The sequence below is a fragment of the Homo sapiens genome, chromosome 4 (assembly GCF_000001405.40).
Source record: "Homo sapiens chromosome 4, GRCh38.p14 Primary Assembly".
Lineage (NCBI taxonomy): Eukaryota > Metazoa > Chordata > Mammalia > Primates > Hominidae > Homo > Homo sapiens.
In genome coordinates, this window is record NC_000004.12 from 40,175,984 (window position 1) to 40,200,769 (window position 24,786).

The 24,786-nt window shown below is 42.7% G+C and overlaps 2 protein-coding genes across 15 annotated transcripts in view, besides 7 other annotated features; both read left to right on the forward strand.

The window, feature by feature from the left end:
• Window positions 1-14,487, forward strand: part of N4BP2 (NEDD4 binding protein 2) — a 133,621-nt gene extending 119,134 nt beyond the window's left edge. Inside the window, exons 17-18 of the transcript XR_007057942.1 lie at window positions 9,116-11,255; window positions 14,330-14,487. The gene's annotated coding sequence lies outside the window, so the exon portion shown is untranslated. The remainder of the gene's footprint in view (window positions 1-9,115; window positions 11,256-14,329) is intronic.
• Window positions 9,833-9,902: an enhancer, noted in NCBI's record as "active region_21473". NCBI's record gives its function as "activates an Ori minimal core promoter by ATAC-STARR-seq in GM12878 lymphoblastoid cells {active_cell/tissue: GM12878}" and the evidence as "EXISTENCE:reporter gene assay evidence [ECO:0000049][PMID:35858748]".
• Window positions 14,218-14,267: a silencer, noted in NCBI's record as "silent region_15378". NCBI's record gives its function as "represses an Ori minimal core promoter by ATAC-STARR-seq in GM12878 lymphoblastoid cells {active_cell/tissue: GM12878}" and the evidence as "EXISTENCE:reporter gene assay evidence [ECO:0000049][PMID:35858748]".
• Window positions 15,097-24,786, forward strand: part of RHOH (ras homolog family member H) — a 55,888-nt gene continuing 46,198 nt past the window's right edge. For 6 of the 14 annotated variants that reach the window (NM_001278361.2, NM_001440378.1, NM_001278360.2 and 3 more), the window contains exon 1: window positions 21,048-21,317. The gene's annotated coding sequence lies outside the window, so the exon portion shown is untranslated. Of the gene's footprint in view, window positions 15,356-16,672; window positions 16,707-16,975; window positions 17,141-17,679; window positions 17,830-21,047; window positions 21,318-24,528; window positions 24,583-24,786 lie in introns of those variants that run through there. The other 8 variants (NM_001278364.2, NM_001278366.2, NM_001278365.2 and 5 more) reach the window with 7 other exon arrangements.
• Window positions 17,035-17,394: an enhancer, noted in NCBI's record as "active region_21474". NCBI's record gives its function as "activates an Ori minimal core promoter by ATAC-STARR-seq in GM12878 lymphoblastoid cells {active_cell/tissue: GM12878}" and the evidence as "EXISTENCE:reporter gene assay evidence [ECO:0000049][PMID:35858748]".
• Window positions 17,915-18,054: an enhancer, noted in NCBI's record as "active region_21475". NCBI's record gives its function as "activates an Ori minimal core promoter by ATAC-STARR-seq in GM12878 lymphoblastoid cells {active_cell/tissue: GM12878}" and the evidence as "EXISTENCE:reporter gene assay evidence [ECO:0000049][PMID:35858748]".
• Window positions 18,544-18,753: an enhancer, noted in NCBI's record as "active region_21476". NCBI's record gives its function as "activates an Ori minimal core promoter by ATAC-STARR-seq in GM12878 lymphoblastoid cells {active_cell/tissue: GM12878}" and the evidence as "EXISTENCE:reporter gene assay evidence [ECO:0000049][PMID:35858748]".
• Window positions 18,794-18,843: an enhancer, noted in NCBI's record as "active region_21477". NCBI's record gives its function as "activates an Ori minimal core promoter by ATAC-STARR-seq in GM12878 lymphoblastoid cells {active_cell/tissue: GM12878}" and the evidence as "EXISTENCE:reporter gene assay evidence [ECO:0000049][PMID:35858748]".
• Window positions 22,021-22,120: an enhancer, noted in NCBI's record as "active region_21478". NCBI's record gives its function as "activates an Ori minimal core promoter by ATAC-STARR-seq in GM12878 lymphoblastoid cells {active_cell/tissue: GM12878}" and the evidence as "EXISTENCE:reporter gene assay evidence [ECO:0000049][PMID:35858748]".

Consider the following 24,786-nt stretch of genomic DNA (forward strand, 5'->3'; position numbering starts at 1 on the left):
GGAGGCTGAGCCAGGAGAATGGCGTGAACCCGGGAGGCAGAGATTGCAGTGAGTTGAGATCGGGCCACTGCAATCCAGCCTGGGCGACAGAGCGAGACTCCGTCTCAAAAAAAAAAAAAAAAAGAGAAAGAAAAAAAACAAATTTTGATGATTTTCCTATCCAGCCTCTCTGCTGTGTATATAAACATTTAAATAGTTGTGATCATATTTTATAAATATGTATCTTTGCAATGATGAAAAATGATTTTTCATCTTGCAATGATTTTGCAAGATAAAAAAGTTAAACCATCTTTTCTGAGGTTCTAAAAAGAAATAGTTACAAACATATAATAATAACATAATTTATTTTCCTGTTGTTGGACATTCATGCTGATCAAAATCTTCACTAAGAATATGAACATCTATCCTTATTTTTGTTTCCAAAAGTAGATTCTTAGATTAATTTTTGTCCCTTATATCTCCCTTTCTTTGATTAGATCATTGTTCATCATACAAGGAGTGGAGAGTGTATAGTTTTGACAAAAGTACTCCCGAGGTGATTCTGATAAGCATGCCTCCCTCTCCCCCAACTCCAGTTAAGAAATGTAGGATTAAGGCACTGAAGTCACTCTGTGGCGACTGGGAGAAAACACGAGAACAGTAACCGTAACAAATGCCTGAATAATTGTGATACTCTTTTCTCACTGAGTTAATTATTCAAGCTCCCTGTGCTAGAATTCACAGTCAAAGCAGATGTCCCTGAGACAGCCATGTGGGAGAGGGTCCCTGAAGAAACTCCACCCAACCTGCCCACTGAGGTGGAGCCTCGGGAAGTTCATGCTGTTTGCAGCAGGGAGGAACCTGGCCCCTCCTCTTCCTGGGTAGAACCTGGGATTCAAACTGCGTGCGGGAAGCGCTCTAGCAGGAGACTCTGGCCTTTCGGGGGATCCCTGTTTTCCCCCGCTTTTTTCCCTTTTCACCCAATAAAATCCTTTTCTCATCCTTTAAACCGTCTGCAAGCCTACATTTTCGTGGCTGTGGGACGGATAAGAACCCCCTCTTTGGCGGAATTAAGGAAGAGTCCTGCAACATCAACCAAGAGTATTTTTGCAGCAGACAGCAGTGGAAAGCTAGCCTGCTTCTCTGTCTTCCAGAACTTTCCTCCAATGACCAACCTGGAGGGGGTCGTGCCTAGCTAAAGCTCAACTCTGAACACAGAATTCACACAGTATTTCATGTTTCTATTGATTATGAAAGGAAACAGATAACTAGGTTCTTTGGGAGATAACAGGTGATCTGGTACCATGCAGAGGGAAGGAAGGGAGGGAAAGGGAATTTGTAGTTGTTTTGCTTTTTAAATACTTCTTCCTGGGCCCGGCACGGTGGTTCACGCCTGTAATACCAGCACTTTGGGAGGCCGAAGCAGGTGGATCACCTGAGGTCAGGAGTTCGAGATTAGCTTGGCCAACATGGTGAAACCCCGTTTCTACTAAAAATACAAAAATTAGCTGCGCATGGTGGCAGGTGCCTGTAATCCCAGCTACTCTGGAGGCTGAGGCAGGAGAATTGCTTAAACCCCGGAGGCAGAGATTGCAGTGAGCTGAGATCAAGCCACTGTACTCCAGCCTGGGTGACAGAGCAAGACTCTGTCTCAAAAAATAAAATAAATAAGAAGAAAAAAAATAAAGACTTCTACCTCAACTAGAGCACAGACTCCGTGTGAGGATATCTGATTTTCAGTATCAAATGCTCTCATTTTCTAGTGTCAGATCCCTCATTTGTAGAGTGTAAGGCTTTGGCTCTCTTTACGGCTGCTCCCAGCTCTAATGTTCTTCCATCTTCTCTGCAGTCATCTCACATGCAGGGCTCTTTAGGGGACAGCAACTTTATTTTCACAAATCTTACATAGCCCAGGTGCCTGCATGGGTTCACTCTGTCCTTTGAATAAAATAGTCTCAAATAAATGCTTTTGTTATGAAATGAGAGCAACAGAAAACAGAAAGATGAGGCATTTAACTTAAGCAACCAGAAAAAAACAAAAACAAAAAAACAGTAAGTAGAAAGTAAGGTGCCTGTAATCCTAGCTACTCAGGAGGCTGAGGCAGGAGAATCGCTTGAACCCAGGAGGCGGAGGTTGCAGTGAGCCGAGATCATGCCACTGCACTCCAGCCTGGGTGACAGAGCGAGACTGGGTCCAACAAACAAACAAACAAAGAACCCAACAAAACAAAACAAAACAGGAGGATGAATTCTTTGCTCAGAAATGTGTACAATCTAAAAACAATCTTTACCTTTCTCTCAACTGTCAGTGTCAACACAAATGGGATAGAATCAGAAATGAATAAATTGGAAAATAATGATAAAGCAAGAGTTAGCAAGTAAAATCAAAAGTTGTTCCTTTAAGATATATAAATGTTGTAGGAAAACCTCCGGCAAGACTACTCCCCCGCCCCGCCACCAAAACAAAAAAAAAAAGAAAAGAAAAACCTTCATCTTTAGGCACAAGAAAGGTACTCACAGATATGAAAGAGATTGAAGAATTGTAACTAGTGGTACTTGGGCAGCATGTACCTTTCTGGTAGATTTCAATGATTATTAACGTGGGCATACTTTATCATTGTAAAAAACAATCACCACTCTTGGTCTTCCAGCTACCATGCTTAACAAGGACAATATCCAGCTCTCTAGATAACGAAATAAGTTGCCCAGGACAAAACAAAGTTTTGGAAAGGTTTGAACAGACTCCGTCTGCACAGTTTCCTTGAGACATGCGAAATGTGTAGGGAACGAACTTCCTTTCAATATGAGCACACATTTGCCTTCCATGGGATAAGACATGCTTAGTGCAGCTGCTGTCGGAGAGCTCTGTCAGGGCAAGACTCACAGTTGAAACTCCCTGCCTCAAGTTCTTGTATTTGCTTAAACCTGGCTGAGTTTTTGCAGCTGGTACTTCTATTTGATTTGCAGTGTGACACTGCCCTTCTCATTTTCTGTCTTTGTGGTTGCCGATTTTTCATTTTTATTGATAGCAGCAGGTGGCAGAAAGCATAAGACCATTATAAGGAATGGATGTATTTGTGGAGCATTTATTTATGGGTCCTAGTAGATATTAAAACGTTTTGGAGGCTGGGCGCAGCAGCTCATGCCTGTAATCCCAGCAGTTTGGGAGGCCGAGGCGGGCAGATCACAAGGTCAGGAGATCGAGACCATCCTGGCTAACATGGTGAAACCCTGACTCTACTAAAAGTACAAAAAAATTTAGCTGGGTGTGGTGGCTGACGCCTGTAGTCCCAGCTACTTGGGAGGCTGAGGCAGGAGAATGGCATGAACCCGGGAGGCAGAGCTTGCAGTGAGCCAAGATCGAGCCACTGCACTCCAGCCTGGGCGACAGAGTGAGACTCCATCTCAACAAACAAACAAACAAACAAACGAAAAACATTTTGGAAAACTACCATTGAGTCACAGCAAAACTAATAGTAGCTAATGTTTATTGAAATCTTCTGTGTTGCAAGAGGGTGCTAAGCAGTTGGTATGTACTAATTCATTTAATCCTCACAACAGCCATAAGAGGTGTAGAGGCTATTATTATCCCCATTTAACAGTTGAGGAAACTGAGGCACATGGAAATTAAATAATTTTCCTGAGGTTACACAGCATAATCAAGATTTAAACTTGGGCAGGTTGGTGCCAGAGACTGTGCTCTTAACCATTATATTATTGCAATGTAATTTTGAAAGAATGATAAATCATGAATTATAGGAAAATATTGTTTACATTTTAGAGTGGTAAAGCCTTTCTTTTTTTTTTTTTTTTTTTTTTGAGACGGAGTTTCACTCTTGTTGCCCAGGCTGGAGTGCAGTGGAGTGATCTTGGCTCACGACAACCTCCACCTCCTGGGTTCAAGCCATTCTCCTGCCTCTGCCTCCCGAGTAGCTGGAATTACAGGCATGCGCCACCACGCCCGGCTACTTTTGTATTTTTAGTAGAGACAGGGTTTCTCCATGTTGGTCAGGCTGGTCTTGAACTCCTGACCTCAGGTGATCCGCCCACCTCGGCCTCCCAAACTGCTGGGATTACAGGCATGAGCCACCGCGCCTGGCCTAGAGTGGTAAAATCTTTCTAAGCAATTGCTAAACTTAAAAACTTGGGCATGGCAAAAGACACCATAAATAAAATAAAGACAAATGACTGAGAGATAATGTCTGTAACATATAAACAGATTATTGATATCTTTCATATACAAACAACTTTTCTAAACTGATATAACAATATTCAATAGAAAAAAATGGGCACAAGATATAAATATGCCATTTTAGAGGAGAAATACAAATGACCAGTAAATATGTGAAAAGATGTTGAATCTCAATAATAATTAATCAGCAAGACACCACTTTTCAACTAGAAAACTAAAAAAATTTCTGATAAAATCTAAAAAGATTTCTAACATCTGGTGTTGTGATAATGCAGGCAGATAGTTAGTCACTCTCATACATCACTGGTGGACTTCCCTGGAGTGGATTTGGCAATATCTACTACAATAAAAAAAAAATCTACTCTGAAACCTGCAAAGTCACTTCCTGTCATTATTCCACAGGAATACTTAATTACTCATGCACAATTCATTCATGTACAATCAATTCAGTTCACAATTACAAAACGTGTTACATCATTTTGTACAAGTATAGCACTGTTGGTAATAGCAAAAAAGTGAAATACATCAAGATGGGCTAGTTAAATTAATTATGGTACTTCCATACAATGGACTATTATGTTGCTATTAAAGGGTGAGGTTAATCTATTTTCCAGACTTCTTGTCCTTGCTATATTGATTGGTGAAAACAAAACAAAAATAAGTTGTAAAACAATATGTCTACCATGACCTTATCCTGGTATAAAGAAAAACTGTAGGCCAGGCACGGTGGCTCACACCTGTAATCCCAGCACTTTGGGAGGCTGAGGCGGGTGGATCATGAGGTCGGGAGTCCGAGACCAGCCTGACCAAGATGGTGAAACCTCATCTCTACTAAAAATACAAAAATTAGCCGGGCATGGTGGCATGTGCCTGTAGTCCCAGCTACTCGGGAGGCTGAGACAGGAGAATTGCTTGAACCTGGGAGGCAGAGGTTGCAGTAATCTGAGACCTCGCCATTGCACTCCAGCCTGGGTGACAGAGCGAGAGTCTGTCTCAAAAAAGAAAAAAATATATATACATTGGCCAAATCTTTGCCCTTGTTCTCTCCCCTAAAATAGTCATTGGTGGCTCTAGCCTGTCACCATATTGCTAACCCACTGTCTCTTCTTGTCTCTGTTTTCTTTTTCAAGCAAGCTTGAAACTTCCCCAACTTTCTGTTCGTTTCTTCCGGATAGCAATTCAGTGCTACTGTTGTCATCCCTTCTTCTCAAAACATTTTCGATACTAGCTCATCTTGTAGATTAACATATCAATTAGGATTAGATTAAATTGTATGTGACAGAAAACCCCCAAGCAATGGTGGGCTGTGCAAGATAGAAGTTGGTTTTTCCCTACTGTGCAAATGAAACTGAGAGGTAGGTGCTCCAAGGCTGGTATGGCAGCAATGTCATCTTCAGGGACTTGGCTTTCTTCTCTCTTGTTCCTCCGAGCTCAACTCGCGGCTTTCATTTCACAGTTCAAGGTGGCTGCTCAAACTTAAGTAAGCACTTAAGAAGGAAAGGACAAAGAAGTCCGGGTGCGGTGGCTCACGCCTGTTAGTCCCAGCACTTTGGGAGGCTAAGGCAGGCAGATCACCTGAGGTCAGGAGTTCAAGACCAGCCTGGCCAACATGGTGAAACCCCGTCTCTACTAAAAAATACAAAAATTAGCCGAGCATGGTGGCACACACCGGTAGTCCCAACTACTATGGAGGCTGAGGCATGACAATTGCTTGAACCCAGGTGGCGGAGGTTGCAGTGAGCTGAGATCATGCTACTGCACTCCAGCCTGTGCAACAGAGCAAGACTCTGTCTCCAAAAAAGAGAAAGGACAAAGAAGAGAGTACTTCTTCCCATTAAAGACATTCCTGGGATTGCCTGGAGGTTGCTTACACCCCATTACCCAGGACTTAGCCACATGACTACATTCAGCTGAAAAGAAGATTGGGAAAAATAACCTTTATTATTGGCTACAGTGCTCAGTTGAAAATTATGTTCTGTTGCTAAGGAAACGGATTTTGGGGGATAGTCAGCAGTCTCTAACACAACTAACAGTGTTTTACCTTGCATACAGTAAAGGCTTTTCAGGCTGATACAAGAACATGCGCAGAGACAGGAAAAGGTGTTCATGTGCTTCGAACAGGACATGGGTGAAAGATCAGGCTAGAAAGAGAGGCAGATGCCACGTTAGGAAAGGCTTTGAGGGTCAGGCTGAGAAGTTTCCTTTTGTCCTGTAGGCAGTAGGGAGCCAAATAGATCCTTGTATTTGGTATAAATCCTTCCAGGGATGTAAGCTAATTGCTTGTCTGAGTTCATTTTATTTATTTATTTATTTTGAGACAGGGTCTCACTTTGTCACCCAGGCTGGAGTGCAGTGGCGGGAACACAGCTCACTGCAGTCTCCACCTCCCAGGCTCAAGCGATCCTCCCACCTCAGTGCCCAAGAAGCTGAGACTACAGGTGCACGCCACCATGCCGGGCTAAAATTTTTTTTTTGTAGAGACGAGGTTTCGCCATGTTGCCCAGGCTGGTCCATTTAATATATATATACATATGTATAGAGAGACAGAGTCTTGTTCTGTTGCCCAGACTGGAGTGCAGTGGCTGGATCTCAGCTCAATGGAACCTCTGCCTCCCAGGTTCAAGCGATTCTCCTGTCTCAGCCTCCCAAGTAGCTGGGATTACAGGCACCTGTCACCACGCCCAGCTAATGTTTGCATTTTTAGTAGAGACGGGGTTTCACCATGTTGGCCAGGCTGGTCTTGAACTTCTGACCTCAGGTGATCTGCCCACCTCAGCCTCCCAATGTGCTGGGATTACAGACATGAGCCACCATGCGTGGCCCCATTTAATATTTTTTAATATAAAAATTGTGTAAGTTCCAACATTTAGAAAATAGAGGAATGTATAAAACCAACCATGTTACCCTAAGACAATTCCTGTTAGTGGTTTGGCTTTGCTTCCTCATAGTCTTTGGAAACACTGTTGTAGTCATAATGCACAGATACAATCCCAAGTCCTGTTTCTCTTTTTGCACGTAACCTTGTATCATGAGCATCTCCTTATGTGGTCACATGATCTTCCCAAATACTATTTTCAAATGACCGTGTGTAACATCCCAGTAAGATAATCTACCAATCATTTCTATACAGTATTCTACATTTTTGGCCATTTAGGTTGGGTATTGGCTAAACTACTTTTTACATTTTTTTTTTTTTTTTGAGACGGCGTCTGGCTCTGTCGCCCAGGCTGGAGTGCAGTGGCGCGATCTCTGCTCACTGCAAGCTCCGCCTCCCGGGTTTACGCCATTCTCCTGCCTCAGCCTCCCGAGTAGCTGGGACTACAGGAGCCCGCTACCGTGCCCAGCTAATTTTTTTGTATTTTTAGTAGAGACGGGGTTTCACCATGTTAGCCAGGATGGTCTCGACCTTCTGACCTCGTGATCCGCCCGCCTCGGCCTCCCAAAGTGCCGGGATTACAGGCGTGAGCCACTGCGACCGGCCTACTTTTTACATTTTATAAGAGGTTGGTAGCTTCAACGTCATAAGCTTTTTGTTATTTGTTACTATATCATTAGAAGACAGTCAAGTATTAGAGTAATGAACTGTGGCTTAGGTAAGACATTTATCTCACATAATAAAAAGTAAGAGGTGGTAAGTGAGTCAACAATGCCAGGCTTCTGCTGTGTCTCTCTGCAGTTTTTTGGGTTTCTTTGCTTGTCCTCAGGGCTGCTGCAACCTTCAAGGCATCTAATTCTCCACGGCTACACCCAAAGCATGTAAGGAAGACGGGTGCTCCTGCCCGTGTCTACTTTAACTGGTGAGGAGGACCTCTCCCAGGAGCAAGCAAGACTTTCCCGAACATTTCGTTGATGAGGACTGGGTCACACAGCCACTCATAGCTGCAGGGGAAGCTGAGAAGCAGGAATCAGAAGATTCTTTTTCAGTCTTAGACATCATGATTCACCCCCTGGAACAGAACATTTTGTCCATCTCAAAATAGAGGTTCTTTAGCAAGGAAGAAGACATGACTATCGGGCAGGTAGTCATCTATGTTAAACGTGGGACTTACTGTGGAGACAAAGAAAACCACAAAAATGGTTTTCAGATTAAGTTCTCAGAAGCTTCCCTGTATGGCTGCACGGGCTAGAATGGAGAAACAGGCCCTCAAAATGCAGCACTGGACTTCACATTATTTTTTTTTCTTTACAATGAAACTTCATCTGCCTTTTTTTTTTTAAATAAAAAATTCCCAGCAAAGCAAAAAACTGAAGTGAAACCAAATACATTAGAGAATCACTGAAGAGAATAAACTATATGAGTACAGCTCTTTATTAAAAATAGATTGTAATGTTTATTTTTCTGATTATAGAGTTAATCCTTACTGATCATTAAAAATCTGCAGAGTACAAAAAATTAAAGAAAAAAGTGAAAAAATTATCTCCAATTTTACCATTCAGAGACAGTCACTATTACTATCGGGTCTAATTATTTGTTGCCTTTCAGACGTGAAAAATTTTTTTCATATTAAATTGAGATTTGGGCTGGGCATGGTGGCTCATGCCTGTAATCCCAGCACTTTGGGAGGCCGAGGCAGGTGGATCATCAAAGATCAGGAGTTCGAGACTAGCCTGGCCAACATGGAGAAACCCCATCTCTACTGAAAACACAAAAATTATCTGGGCGTGGTGGCACACATTTGTAATCCCAGCTGCTCGGGAGGCTGAGGCGTAAGAATCGCTTGAACCTGGGAGGCGGAGGTTGCAGTGAGCCGACATTGCGCCACTGCACTCCAGCCTGGGCAACAGAGCAAGACTCTGTCTCAAAAAATAAATAAATAAATAAATAAATAAAATAAAAAATAAATTGGGATTTTACTGTACAGATAGTTTAATTTTATAGCTTACTCTTTGTAATAATAAATCCATGTCCCTTTAAAAATAACAGTTTTTCTCTATTTTTTTCAGGTCTCCCTTCCATTCGACGTGTGCCTCTTGTTGTCCTGTAATGAATTAATTTGAAAAGTAATTTGTCTTCTGTAAGGGGAAATGCTGTAGAAGTAAATTGATTCAGGGAGTCCCCTTACTCATTGGCTGTGTGGCCTTATGTAAGTTGCTTAACCTTTCTGAACTTCACTTTTCTCATTTACAAAGTGAAGATGTTGCTAATAATAGCAATAGTGGTTTTTGCTGTTTTATGGTTTTCTTGTGATAAATGATAATATAAAAGGCTATTGTAAATTGAATTTGAAAGAAAAAAATTTAAAGTTAAAAGAAAACTTAGTAATGTGAATACCCTTTCAAAGTATTTTTAGAAATCTCATTATTGTATATTTAGAAGATTAAAAGACAAGAATTAGAGAACAAAAACAATTTTATTTTCTATTTTGAATAATAAATACTATAGAGATAGGTTTGCTCAAAATTGTAAAGCTTGTTTTGTTTTTGGTAAACATTTGAGAACTTAAACTTATTATTTGGAAAAAAACATTTTAATAGAAATTTTACTTTTTAAAAGGTTTATGTGGTTTTTAAAAAAAGCAAAAAACATTTGTTTATGACTAATCTTGAAATTTTATATGTAATTTAAAATGCCATGTAAGCAGGAAGGTACTCATTTAGGAGAAATTACAAAACTACTTCCTTTTCTTTTAAATGATTAAAAAAATGCACAGCTACAATAATTTAGGTAATAATAATAATAATGAGAACGCAGCAGGCTTAGTTTGAAACCAGACCTTGCAATCCTTGACTGCACTTGTCACAAACATGTTTTCCTCTAATGATCCTCAAGCATTTCCCACTACCTCTTTCTTTTTGAGCACAGACACTGAATTAATTACCCAGAAACCTCACTTTTTTATTTTTGAGTACTCCTTTATCTTCCCATGAGAAGAGAAAGCTACTGAGATTGCCCAGGATGTGTTTCCCAGGTATAATTTCCATTTTAAGGGAAAGTTAAGACAGGCCTTTTAAGAGGTTTGATGCAAAAGCCTCTGGAATCCCTTGTTTTTGGAGTCTGTCTGGAAGTTTGAATTGGCATTGGGTTGGAATCCTCTAAATATGATCCTATGTAAGCTGAGTAATGAGGAAGATGACTTTGCTATGCTTAGCTGTGGTTCAGTGATTCTCCCCTGAGAATCAACTGCTATAAAAATCACTGGTTATTATGTAAAACATTGTGACCGAAGCAGTGACAAGGGTTTATAGAGAAAACTTAGGTAGACTTGCTCAATGAAATTAAGAAAAATAAAAAAGGAACAACAACTTTTCATCTGGTTCATCTAAATGATAGATGCTCATTACAGAACATTTGGGAAATATGTGGCTGGGCAGCATGGCTCATGCCTGAAATACTCACTTGCCCACTGCTCACCTCCTGCTGTGCGGCCCAGTTCCTAACAGGCCACGGGTGGGTACTGGTCTGCAGCCCCAGGACTGGGGACCCCTGACCTAGAGGTTGCCTCTATAAACATTGGCATGTGTGTATACAACAAGTTGAATCCAAATTCGTTTTGTAACCTGCTTTTTTCACTTAACAGTATATTGTGAGCATGTTCCCATGTCATTAAAGATTTTTTGATTTGCAGTGAGCTGATATTGTCTGCTTCCTAGGACTGAGCCACCAGGATCAAAGAAAGGAAATCATTGCCTTCAAGAAGAACATGGTTGACTCGTGCCCATACTTGTCTCTCTTTCATTGAGCCCATGACTATTTTTCCTGATAAGTCATGCCAACTGGTATCAAGTCTCATCTGGATGACATATTTTGTTGTTGTCACTGTTGTTTTTTATCTATGGGCCCAATTGCAATTTATAAATAAGTACTCATTTTCACACAGATATTTTAAGCTGGTTCTTTTCATGATAATTGCATCAGTAATAAAGTGAATGAAATTCACAATTTTACTTCACTGACTCAACATTTATCATTTATCTTAAGCAGGGAATACTACCAAGACAAGAAATTAATTGGTGAGGAAGAAGGGATATGCTAATCTGAATCTGGCCTCCCAAAGCTTTAGCCAGATTATTCCTGATTTGCCAATAGGTCAACTATAAAATTTCTCTTGAAGTAAGGAAAACTTAAGGAGTGTGCTGTGTTCTGGTAAGCTGATTTTCTTGACCATTTTTAATACTGTAAATGGAATCTTTAAAAACAAACAAACAAAGCCTACATTCATCCAAAGCCAAAAATCTGTACACATTCTGGACATTTGTGCAAAAAAAAATTTAAATGGCTACATGTAATTAAAACGACACTGGTCATTTACTTTCCAACTCAGGACATACCCTGACTTCCTTGTGTTGGTTATATGTCACTATATGACACAGTTATTTATTTATTTTTAAAATTGTTCTATTTTTTTGTAGAGATGGGGTCTTGCTATGTTGCCCAGGCTGGTCTCAAACTCCTGGGCTCAAGTGATCCTCCCACCTTGGCCTCCCAAAGCACTAGGATTACAAGCGTGAGCCACTGTGCCCAGCCTAAGATGCATTTTATTCACTTAAGAGAGCTAACCTGTTCAGATTATGAATTGACAAGTCATATCAATTCTAGTTTTGAGTGACTTTCAGAAGACAATCACACACCTCATCTATAAATCAGCATATGTCTGTAACATCTTCCAAAACTCAGGAGGGCAGATGAAAGCCATTCTCACACATGTCGTTCACATCATCAGCAGAAACTGTGCGTTAGTGGGTGGAATTCCTTTTGCTTAGTTGTATGATGGTGATAGCTAATAAAAATGGCATTTAAAAATGAATGTCTAAAACTTGGGCTAACCCAGGAAATTACAGGCATCTTAGGAATAAAAAGACAAAAAGAGACAAAGAACTGTTCTTTAAAAGTGCAAGGAACAGAGTGAGGGCAAAGGAAAAGGTTTCTTCTGGAGGAGGGAGGAAAAACAACAACAACAAAAGAAAATGTTTCTTCTTTTTTGGATGAGAATAATAGTAGCCTTTGAAGTTTCAAATTGATCTTTGTCAATGAGCCATTTGGAATTCAGGATCAGGCAAACCAGCTTGAGAGGCTGGGGTACTCACTTAGTGGAGAGACCAAACAAGTAATATTTAAATGATGTAGCCACAGCCTGAAGTCAAGGATACCAAAGATATTGGCAAAAGTCAACCGGCTACCATCATAAAGATGTGCAAAGGTAGACTATGGAATCACAGGCTGTGCTGTTTATTGCCCATGTGGCCCTGAGCAAGATACTTAATCTCTCTGTGCCTCAGTTTCCTCCTTTGCAAATGGAGATAACAGTGGTACCTACCTCATAATTATTGGGATGATTAAGTGGGAAAATGCATATAAAGTGCTTAACTGGGCCGGATGCAGTGGCTCACACCTGCAATCCCAGCACTTTGAGAGGCTGAGGCAGGCGGATCCCTTGAGCCCAGGATTTTCCGACCAGCCTGGGCAACATAGGGAAACCCGACTCTACAAAAAGTACAAAAATTAGCTGGGCGGGGTGGTGTGTGCCTGTGGTTCCAGCTACTCAGGAGGCTGAGGTTGGGAGGATCACCTGAGCCTGGGAGGCGCAGGTTGCAATGAGCTGAGATGGCGCCAGTGCACTCGGGCCTGGGTGACAGAGTGAGACTCCATCTCAAAAAAAAAAAAAAAAAAAAAAGTGCTTTACTGACTAATGTAGTGCCTAATAAATGGTAAGGCAGTGTGACCATTATTATGAAATTATCAGTATGCTCTGATTACAAAGATCAAGGGAGGCCGGGTGCAGTGGCTCATGCCTGTAATCCCAACATTTTGGGAGGCCGAGGCGGGTGGATCACCTGAGGTCAGGAGTTTGAGACCAGCCTGGCCAATATGGCAAAACCCCGTCTCTACTAAAAATACAAAAAATTAGCCGGGCATGGTGGTGTGTGCCTTTAATTCCAGCTACTCAGGAGGCTGAGGCAAGAGAATCGCTTGAACCTGGGAGGGGGAGGTTGCAGTGAGCCACGATTGCGCCACTGCACTCCAGCCTGGCGCCAGAGCGGGACTCTGTCTCAAACACAAAACAAAACAAAACAAAACAAAACAAAACAAAACAAAACACCATCAAGGGAGCAGAGAATAACAAGCTGAAGAAGAAAGCAGCATGGTGGTGCTGCGTCTTGAAAAAGCTCCTACAACCCTACAACCCTGGAATTTTCCACTAGGTACTTGGCTCTGGTTATAGTTCTCTCTCCATGGCAGTCTGTGATGGAAAAGACTTTCAAAGATTCAGAGAAGAGACTCAGAAAGGACTCAGAAGGGTGGAGGACTGAGCAGTGAAGTGGAGGAATGGGGCTGAGAGATGAGCACCAACTTGGCCCCCGAGTAAAGCTGCGTGATCAGCTTCTCCCGCTCGCAGGTATGGGCAGAATAGGAAGCGGACTGTGCATCAGCAAGGAGGAGCCAGGACTTGGTGATACCTGATGATCATTAAACCTACGGATTTACGCCGATGATAAAGACCATTGAACATTATGGCGAGGCGCGGTGGCTCACGCCTGTAATCCCAGCACTCTGGGAGGCTGAGGGGGGCAGATCACCTAAGGTCAGGAGTTTGAGACCAGTCTGGCCTACATGCTGAAACCCCATCTCTACTAAAAATACAAAAATTAGCTGGGCATGGTGGTAGGCCCCTGTAATCCCAGCTACTTAGGAGGCTGAGGCAGGAGAATCGCTTGAACCCGGGAGGTGGAGGTTGCAGTGAGCAGAGATTGTGCTGCTGCACTCCAGCCTGGGCGACATGGGGAGAGGGGAGAGTCTGTCTCAAACACACACACACACACAGACACATACACACACACACACACACAAACATAAAATAAGACCATTGAACATTAAAATGGCTTTAGGATATTTTTTAAAAGACTTTACATTTTTCGTCTTTCTATGAAGGACTTTCCTGACCATCCTTTTTAAATATGCACCCTCCAAGTTTTCTATCCCCCTTCCTTACTTTGCTTTTCTTCTTAGTAATTAGCTCACTGTAACATATTCTACTACTAGAGTTTCATATTCATTGCTTGTCTTCCTAATACGTAGATATAAACTCAGGCGAGCAGGCTATTTCTGTTCTTGTTGTTCGCTGCTGTCTCCCTGGCACCTAGCCGAGTGCTCAATAAGTATTATAGCAAGTGTTCAGTAAATATTTGTTGAATGAAAGGATAAATTCTCATTTATCTTAGGGCATTTGTAACGGGGCAACCAGATGGCTTCAGGAGGCACCTCTGAAGATTCTGCATTGCTCAGATTATGCATAAGGAATAAAATGTCATTAACAATTTGATTTTAAATTTTCTGTGTCCTTTTAACTCATTGTGACAATAAACACATGACATTAGAATCCTCTGAGTGATGTGTGAGTTTCTGTGACTTTATTCCACGTGAATTTGGGCCCTGCCAAAGCTTCTCAAATTTTTCAATTCAACAGTTGTTATTTAAAGAGGGGGTACGGATGGAGGGGGAAAAAAACTCCAGAAAGCAAAAATCCAAAAGAGGAGTGGCTAATAACAGCCACTGTGTATTGAGCATTCACTGTATTCCAAGCATGAGTCAGGTTTTTTTTTTTTTTTTTTAAATAGAACTCTTCCAAGCTAGATATTATACCTGTTTTGCAGTTGGGTAGATCGGGGCCTCATCCTTAGTAATAAGTGGAGCCGGGATTCGAATCTTGCTTTGTCTGAATCCAAATGTATACTTTCTCCAAAATTTCAGATTGCCTTTCAGTTTAAGCTTCAACCTGTTCCCTCCAGAACAGTGAGGAGATCTGTTACTTTGAAAAGATGGCAAATTAACACTCGGTCTGCCCTGCCTTACAACTGAAATGTTTGCAACGCCCGCTGTGAGCAGATGTGCTGGGTTGCAGTTACCCTGTGATGTTTGTGCTCAAACTGAAGATCCCTATCAATGCAACGAGTAAGACATGAGTTTGAGAAGAAGCAGTGATCACCTTCTTCTTCACTCTTCACGCTGATGAATTTCTACATCACTGTGCATGTCCTGTGCTTTGCAGTCATTCCCTAGGAGCTCGGGCCCTTGACCCAAAGATACTGCTCTTACTAACACTACATTTTAAACTCCTCCTCTGGACTCACTCTCAGAGCCTGCCGCACAATCTTTAAAAACTTTGTCAATGATTGCAAAATCTTTTTCCTTTTAGAGTGGATTTGATTTTAGGAGACAGCCATTCGGAGCTACATCCAGTGAATAAGGTGGGTTAAAAAGCCATATACTATTTTGAGTCAAAAACAAGTTGTGAACAGAATGCAGATACTGGTTTTGTTTTGTAGTTTATTAAGCTGTCTCTCAAGGATATTGTAAAAAGGGTCTAAATGCACTTTGACTCATGTCTGTGATGTTGCAAAAGCGCATCAACTATCGAGGGACTGCTTTGAAGGGAAACGGTCATTTGACTACATTTGCTCTGCTCTGACAGACTTTTTAGAAAAAGTTGTATCATAACTTTAGAGCCACAGCTTGAATTATTACTTTGGGTGCTATCATCTTCCGCAACAAGACTCTGTCTTCTTATGAATTATGGCTCTGCAATAAAACGAACCAGGATGTGAATGTTTGCTAGATCAATACAGTAATCCAGGGCAAACAAACCAGAATAAACATGGCAGCTGAGAATCCTGAGAACCGAATATTCACTGAAACAAAAAGCAATATGTTATGATACATTAACATATTTAAAGAGAAAATAAATGATGAGAATAACAGCAGGGGAAATGATGTTTTTATGGTTATGGCAATAAGAGGGAAGCTAGAAGATGTTTCAAATGCTATTACCTGGTTAGGGAGGCTGGTTTTTTTTTTTTAATAATGAATTAAAATGCATAAAGAGGAAATCACCCATGAGATTTCTAGCCTGTGGCATTTTGAAGCTATTTCAATATTCAGCATTTAAAAAGTATTTTATATGAATGTATTTTTACACTAAAAGTTACATCAGAATTAAGATCATTCTCTTAACATTTTATAGTTCCCATCATGAAATCTCTCAATCAGAAAGAAAGGATATTTTGTTTTAATACAGTTGTTCATCATCCAGTGGGGAGCTGGGTGAGAATAATTGCAATACGACTAATGGCCTGAGTTTGAAATTCAAAGCCTTCAGACAAGGTTTTAGTACATATTACCTATCTTCACAACTCACTGAAATATTTTATTAGGTGGCATAAATGAGGGTCTGTGTAAACATTAAAAGCTACCCACTGAATCTACATCATTTCTGTTAATATGCTAATAGCAAGGGGGAGGGAAAGGCATCTTACTAACCCAGCGTTGAAATAATTTAGTAGATGACTCAAGTCTCAAGGTTTCTAAGATTTACTATTCATACAATTACAATTGTCATTAAGAGTTTTCGCTGGCGTAAGTGGCACAACACCTTTGCAATGAGCAAACATAGTACTTATGCATGAGTTCAGGGTACACAAGTAGTTGTCATATTATTTAAAAAACCTCAATAAAAGAGGTCTTTGTTCACAGGAGAATATTAAAGTAAGCTGTTCTTTTGCCATATCAGAGAACATTTCTGATGAAGGTGGTTTTGAGAAAGTAAGTCTTTGCTTTTTCACCTTGACCTGAAGGGGACCGTTTGCACAGGGAATCCTGGAGGGGGCATGTTTAGGGCCAAGAAAATGGGCCTTGGGGCTCTGGCTGCTCCTCGTTGCCCACGGTGGTTCAGTTCTCTCTGTGGGGAGGCAGCGGGAGTGACAGCCAGGACAGATGAATGGGGTGAATCTTGGTTCTGGTTTTCTTAGGCCATAGGGTCTTATGCAAATCATTTAACCAGCTGAAGTCTCTGTTTCCTTGGCTGTTAAAATAGGGTTTAAAGTGTTTACCATAAAGGGCAGCTGTGAGGCTGTGAGATGGGAGAATCAATCTATTTATTGGTCAGAAAGTGGTTGTTCAGTACCTTGGATTTCTGAGTGGGCAAGGCTGGACCCTGAGCCCTGGGACCTCTGAAGTGAACACTGCAGGGCCATTTGGTGAGTGCTCTGGCCGTGTTAACACGACGTGCTATGGAGCCCTTGGGAGGGCACCTCACTGGGCTTGCAATGGAGGTGGGTGGTGGCTACAGATGGCTTCCTGGAAGATGGCTCAGAGGGGGGCTCTGATTCCCAGTTACGAACTGTGGACCCATGGTTTCCCTCCTCCTGCCACTCTGAAGTCCCCAGGATTTCTCCCAACCCCATCCCAAGGACAGACTGCACAGCGTCAGAAGGGACACGCCCTGGGGCTTGGGTGCGTGTATGTCTGTGAATGTTTGCATGTATTTTCAGCGTTTGCTTCCTCCCCTCACCACTACCCCTGTCGGTTAAAAGTCTGTTAAAAGAATGAGAGCGAGAGAGAGAGAGAGAGAGAGAGAGAGAGGAGAGGAGGGGCGGGGTGGGGGAGGAGGGGAGTGGGGAGAGAGAAAGAGAGAAACACCAAAAAGACATTTTCAAGGAAGGAAGAAAATTAGATGGCAACCCCCTGTCCCCTCCCCCTAAGAAAATCCTCTCTGAGATTAAACTGTGTGAAGATTAGAGGCGTGTAGGTCAGGAGCAGGAGGAAGCCCAACGCTGGACTGTACCAGATCATCTAAAACTGGCAATTCCAGGCACAGAAAACCAGTTCTTCAGAAGCAGAAGGGTGGTCAGCCAGGGGGTGAAAGGGACAGGGGTCTCGCAGCCAGGTATGACAATGCCCTTCCTAGTCCTTTCCAGGATGGGGTGGGACACACCCAGTCCATCCTGACTCTGGAGTACGTCTCCACTTTCGTGCAGAAAATGGTACAAGGCCTGAGGCCTGGAGCTCGTTATAAATCATGCTGGTGGCGTTTCTTGCTTTGTTTCCCAAAGGGCAGAGCCTCATCTCCCCTTCTACTTAGGAGATGGAGGGGATCTGTCCATACAGGCAGCTGTCCTTGTCTGACTCCTCTGCTTTCTGAAGGGGAGACATTGTCCCCCTTAAAGGACACTGGATCTCCTGTTGGAGGGGCAACCAATTTTGAACTCTTTGCCTCTTTAAATCTTTTAGAAACTTGGATGAGAGAAACTTTTTATCCTGAATTTTCTGAAGCATATCTGAAGTCATTTTTCTTTATTATTATTATTATTATTATTTTTTAGGCTGACGTCTCACTCTGTTGCCCAGGCTGGAGTGCAGTGGTATGATCTTGCCTCACTACAACCTCTGCCTACTGGGTTCAAGCAATTATCCTGCCTCAGCCTCTCGAGTAGCTGGGATTACAGGCATGAGCTACCGTGCCTGGCTAATTTTTGTATTTTTAGAAGAGACGGGGTTTCACCATGTTGGCCAGGCTGGTCTCGAACTCCTGACCTCAAGCGATCTGCCCTCCTCGGCCTCCCAAAGTTTTGGGATTATAGGCGTGAGCCACAGCACTCGGCCTATTGTCATTGTTATTATTAGTATTATTTTAGAGACTGGGTGTCGCTATGTTGCTCAGGCTGGTCTTGGACTCCTGGGCTCAAACAATTCGCCTGCCTCGGCCTCCCAAAGTGTGGGGATTATAGGCGTGAGCCACTGCGCCCGGCCCATGAAGTCATTTTTCATCTCTGGATAAAACTGGAACATCAAAGTGGTGCTGTGGGGTGGCACATTCTTACTAATCTCCTGCTGCACTCTCCCTGCCGCACACCCTGGAGTTGCTTTTAGTAAACTCTTCGGTGAGATGCAATCAGCATATATGGAGGAACAGCGTAAGGAACCACCTCACGGACTTGTGGCTGGCTGCGTGGAGTCTAAACATGGTGTTTCACTTCAGCCGTGTTGTCTTCTCTATGGGAATCCAGGGGGCAAAGTTTCTCTTTAATCTCAGCACTGGGGAGCCAGGAAGACCTCATGATTCTGAGCTATGTGTTTATGTTTCTCCCGCGGGCAATGAGCTTTCTGTGTGGTGATATTTCCTGCTTCATACCAGTTGCTGAAGAGCATAGAACCACGTGGCATACATTCTCTGTAATTAACCTCACCCCCAGTTTTAGTGTCATTTTTGTCTTCACTTCTCTTGGCCTCATTTTCAAATTTCTTGTTTTTAATTGTTTCATTTTGCTAAGGTGTAAGTATTTTTGCCAGATGCTCTAAATCCTTTGATGAACAAAACCAGAAGTAGATAAAGAAAATATCCACAAGCTTATGTTCTGCTCAGCTGATAACATCACCATGGTGATCTGGCTTTCCACAGAGGATTTTCCCTTTCTTTCCTTTCTTTCTTTTCCTTCCTTCCTTCCTTCCTTCCTTCCTTCCTTCCTTCCTTCCTTCCTTCCTTCCTTCCTTCCCTCCCCTTCTCTTCCTTTTCCTTCCCTTCCCTCCTTCTGTCTGTCCCTCTCTCTCTTTTTTCGAGACAGGGTCTTGCTGTGTCCCCAGGCTGGAGTGTGGTGGTGGATCACAGCTCACTGCAACCTCAACCTCATGGGTTCAAGCAATCCTCCTGCCTCGGACTCCTGAGTAGCTGGGACTACAGGTGTGGTTGCCCAGCTAATTTTTGTAGAGATGGGATCTCACTACGTTGCCCAGGCTGGTCCCGAACTCCTAGGTTCAAGCAATGCTCCCCGCTCAGCCTCCTAAAGTGCTGGCATTACAGGTGTGAGCCACCGCCACTGCACCTGGCCTCCCACAGAGGATTTTCTAGGAGATAATGTGCTCTTCAGAAGGCTCGAGGATCTCAGCTGGCAGATTGAGTTCTTACTGTGCATTAACAAATTGACACATGGGTTCATGTGGAAGTCTTGTGAACTTGGTAATTGGGTGTCTATTGATAAGAATGCTCACCTTGTACCATTGATTCCCTCTACAACTATGCTGCAAGCACAGTCATCTGCTTTCACTTCTTTGAACATGCCAACCTCTTTCCCACCTCAGGGCCTTTGCACATACTATTTGCCTCTACGTGGAATGTTCTTTCCTCCTTCTCATCCATTAGAGTGGCAGCAGTACTTTAGAATAATCAGAGGGGTTTAAAATAATATTGATGTCCGGTCCCAACCCAGCTCAATTAAACTCAAATCTTTGAGTGTGGGGCCGATGCACTGATAAAATAAAATAAAAGGCATGGAGTTGACTTTATCCTTACGGTCGGCAGGTATTTTGACCAAGCTATCACCGTGAGCAGTAGCATCAACAGTTAGTTATTCAGGGATTTGGGGCACAGGCGGTTGTGACCACATCACAAAAGTTCAATTTGTTGGGTTAGGCGTTTAGCCATAACCTAAGTAGTTGCAGATGGTCTCTACACCTGGATTGCCCATTAGGACAAAACAAGTAAACTTGTGTTTTTAGGCAAATAATGAAACTCTGAGGAGTCTGAAAAAACAACTCATCGCCAGGTAACTCCCAGCCCAGGTGCTCGTCCATACAGGGGTGAACGCACGGCAGGGGGCTGCTCGAACTCTCACTAAGCCTGCCTCTGTTCTTTGCAAAATATTTGATAGTTTTTAATGCAGCAAAGCGAAGCAGACAATCCACCTCTTGTTTTCCCCAAGCTGATGGGGGGAAAGTTCTAAGGTGTTGTTTCCTAAGCTCAAATTAACCAAGATTGGTCAGTGGCATGGACTTTTTTTTTTTTTTTTTTTGGTAATTTTACTTCCATGAGGAATCATTTGGACTCTTCAGTCTTCCTTTCTTCAGTTTTACGTAGGGCTTTGCTGGAGGAAAATGGGGCTAAGGGGGAGAGAAACATAGTCTCGGAGTAGGGTGGGGGATAAATTAAACGCAAACCCAGCGGTGCGGCAAAGGCCTTATTCTGCCTCTGATCTGGGGAAGTTTCATATTCTAATGGAGAGAAACGCACGTGCACACACACCCCCCTAAACCCACACAAATGAAACCCCCTCTGCGGAGAAGCCGGCTACAGGAAATTGACTTAGGCACAGGAACTTGCTAATCTCTTTTGTCACATTCGGATTGCTCCTGCTGCCCCACACACACTAACCCAACCATCTTGGGGTGGACTCCCTGCCAGCCCAACTGTTGTATTTTCAGTTCTTCCAGTGTGAATCAGTTAATATTCTCGGGAACGAGGGAGAGGTTGATCCTATGAGGAAATCAACCACAGTGAAAAGGCTTGGGCCGCTTTTGTTTTCACCTGCTTTTGTTGAACAAATTTGATTTCCGGAGTCAGTCATTTTACTGTCAAGACATTTCTTCGGCATTCTGCAACAGGTAAGGATTTTGCTTCCTTAAAAGTATTTCTTTGGTGTCAAAAGAAATTTTTCTAATTTTATTTAGCTTTTACTCTAGGCCAAACATCGTAATGACTCTGAGCTACCTGCTGTAAGGTGTAGAATCAATTTACAGGGGGACGGGGGTCGGGGGGGTGAGTGTTGCTTTGATATTCACTGCCCCTCACCACAGTCCTAACAAGATTTTTGAAACATGAAAAGTTACAATAGTTGGCTTTTTGGTTTTCCAGATATTCTAGAGAATGCATATGCTTGTGACTGTGGCTGAGCTCAACTGTATGGGTAGTTTAAATACTACCCAAGGTTTGATGAAGTAAATCTAAAGATGCTCTAAGTTGTGCAAATATGAATTTTAAAGTTGTCTAGTTCAGAAAAGAAACAGAACCGAAGTCTAAATGATGTAGATTTCAATCTGGAATTTCTAGCTTGTGTTTTTCACCTATTGCCAATGTTAATGACCATTTCCCAAAAGTGCTCTATGATGTATAACATGTATTTTTTAATTAAATTTAATCTTTCTTCTGAGGTGGTTTGATTTGGAGATATGCTACGAGGTACCAGTCAGTAGCCTGAGTTGTAACTAAACAAAGTTTGGGAAATCACCGGTTTTAGGTGCTTTACTAAATGAAAGTTGCCATTGACGTATTCAAGCAGGCAACAAGTAGTTGGTGTCCCCTTATTGGTTCTAAGCTGGTGCCGTGGAGGATATAAGAGAAATATTTTAAAAATCTCTACTTTGAAGGACCCTATAATCTGGTAGTTGTGATAAGAAGTAAAATTTAGGAAGCAATGCAAGATGAGAATTCAGTGATGAGTGGGGCAGCACAGGCTTGAAGAGTTCTGTGAATTCCATGGAGGGGGCCTGGGGGCAAACTGGAGTTGTCAGGAAGATCTGGGCTTTGGAAGAATGCGAAGTGTCGGTAGAAGGAGAAGGGGCAGGTGATTTCAGACTGGGAGGACCTTGTGGGCAAAGGCACAAAGGCGAGACTGACCTGGAGATGATAAGGCCAGTTGAAGAGACACTGGAGAAGAGAAGACAGTTTGTTTTACACATTGCAGGAAATCAGATTAGACAGTTAGGGTGTGGACACAAAAGCGAGGACCTTGCAGGCACTGGGGAGAAGTGACCCCATTCAATAGTCCTTGGTCTCCTTCTGCCCTGCGGCTGCGCTTCCTCGGCTCTCACGGCACCAGCAGAATTCCATGTGAGAGGGAGCTTGTCGAGCGTGGCCTCTTCCCACTTGGGGCTGCTTTCTGCATCCCTGTGCCTGGCTGTGGGCCTCCATTTGCCCTCTACTGTCTTCCCTTAGGACATCATTTATGCAGAGAAAGGTTCGTGTGGCTCGGGGTACCAGTAAGACCTCCACCTCTGGTTTCTTCATTTTAAGGAGGCCCTTCAATTATCCAGGAATTAAAGTGGCCTTCCTCTTGGGAGAACGAGTTGGTTGATGAATGATAAGCAAGTCTCTATTCCTCAAAAGCCAGTCCCCAAATTCCATGAAATATGTGCTACTTTCTTTGCATGTCTAAATGAGATGGCACGGGTATGCTTCTGTTCTTTTTCTGGACGTTGTTTAGAGAGTCAGTAGATCATAATAATTCAGACACTTTTTTTCTGGACCATAAAATATCTGAACCCATATAATAACAAACATACAGCACGGTGAATAAGAACCCAACTTTTGAGCCAGATCACTTTGCATGGAATCCCCATTCTATCATTCTATCATTTCTGGGCTGTGGGAACCTCAGACAAGTTACTTAACTTCTTCAATGCTCAGATTAAAAAAAAAATTCACAAAATATCTCTAATAACAGTAATAATAACTGAAAATACCTACCTCAGAGGGTTGTCGTAGAGATCAAATGAGATAAAAATATGTAAAGCATGTAGCCTAGTGCCTGACTGAAAAAAAAATCTCTCAATAGATGCAACTCTTATGATTCTTATTAAGGACTTGGCTATTGCCACAAATGAAGGTGTTATGAGCCCTGGCTTAAGAGCAAGAAGCCTGCAAAGCTAACTCTCCTAATCCCAACATTCCTTTCCAGGGAAAGTAGGGTGACAGGTGGAGGCTGGGAATTAACGTTTTTTGAGCACCAAATATGGACAAGGCACAGGGGTTGGGTGTTTTTCTAGTGAGAATACATATGAAAGAAGGAAAACAAACTTGGAAACCGCTATTTTAAGCCATTTGGTAACAGTTTCTCTAGCTTATGAGATGAGAGAGGTCCTCTCAGTATCCGCTGCATTACTTGTGGGCCTCCTTGGTTGACGTCGCTCTCTGAACGCTTGGGGTGGAATTCTAGAGGTGCTTTTCATTAGAGGCAGAGAGCATGACCTTTCTTCCTTGCCCAGTTTAAATTAAATTATTTTATCTTACAATGTGTTAATTTTAGTGCTAGCAAGGCACAGCTAAAATTCCATTTCTACTTAGGAGTGGGGATCATTGTGGCAGTGAGTGCTTATTTGGGTTTGGGATGCTTGGATCTGGGTGAAAGCCAGGATTAAAAAGCATCCTCCTTCCCCATTCCACTCTCTAGGTTATAAATATTTTTTTGGATTAAAAGCCTCCTTTAAAAAAATGCAAATCCACCTGGCATGTTAATTGTGCAGGGGATTCCTAATTATGTGTGCAGATGACGTGAGTCACACGGTGATAGTGTTCCTTCTAGAGTCCCACTGGTGTCCTAAGGGAGGAGACTCTGGAGCTTTGTGTATGAAAAGGGATGGGCACAAGTCAGGATGGGGTGCACAGGTGGAGGCTGGGAGGCAGCATGACAGTGTGGGGGCTGGGGTGGGCTGTGAGAGCAAGGAGGGTGTCAGAGATGGAAAGGATGACCCCAGGGGGGTGGAAGGGTGCCAGAAACTTAGGGCTCCTCTGTGAGCTCTTTAGCCATTTGACTCTAGCAACTGCTTGAATGCCCTGAACAACCTTTTGACGACTTGCACAAGAAGTTGTCATACTGTTCCCCGGATGTGGACAGTTGTTCAGAGACCACGATCATGTGTCTGGTGTCTCACTGTGGAATAGTGGTTTCTAAAGCTGGCTGGACAGCAAAACCACCTGGGGAGCTTTTAAGAAACTGAAATTCCATGTCTCATACCCCAGCCCTCACGTGAGGTCCAGGAATCTGTGTGATTAAAAAATACAAGCCCCAAAACAACTTGGAAAGTGGTCGTTTTGCAGGTGGGGATTTAGGAACCAAGAATCCAGAACTCTCCTACCAGGGCCCCAGAAACCGTAAGTTGAATAAGTGCTGAAATGAGGCAAATTGATCTACTCTCTATTGTGATTAATATCTTCACACAGCAAGTATTTTCCTTTGTTTTGAGTTCATTCCTTGAGATGAGTTATCGGGAGCGGGGTGACTGGGTCCAGGATATGAGGATGTTTAGCTCAGTCATACCCGCATTTTAACACGCAAACGTACGGTGCCGCTCATTT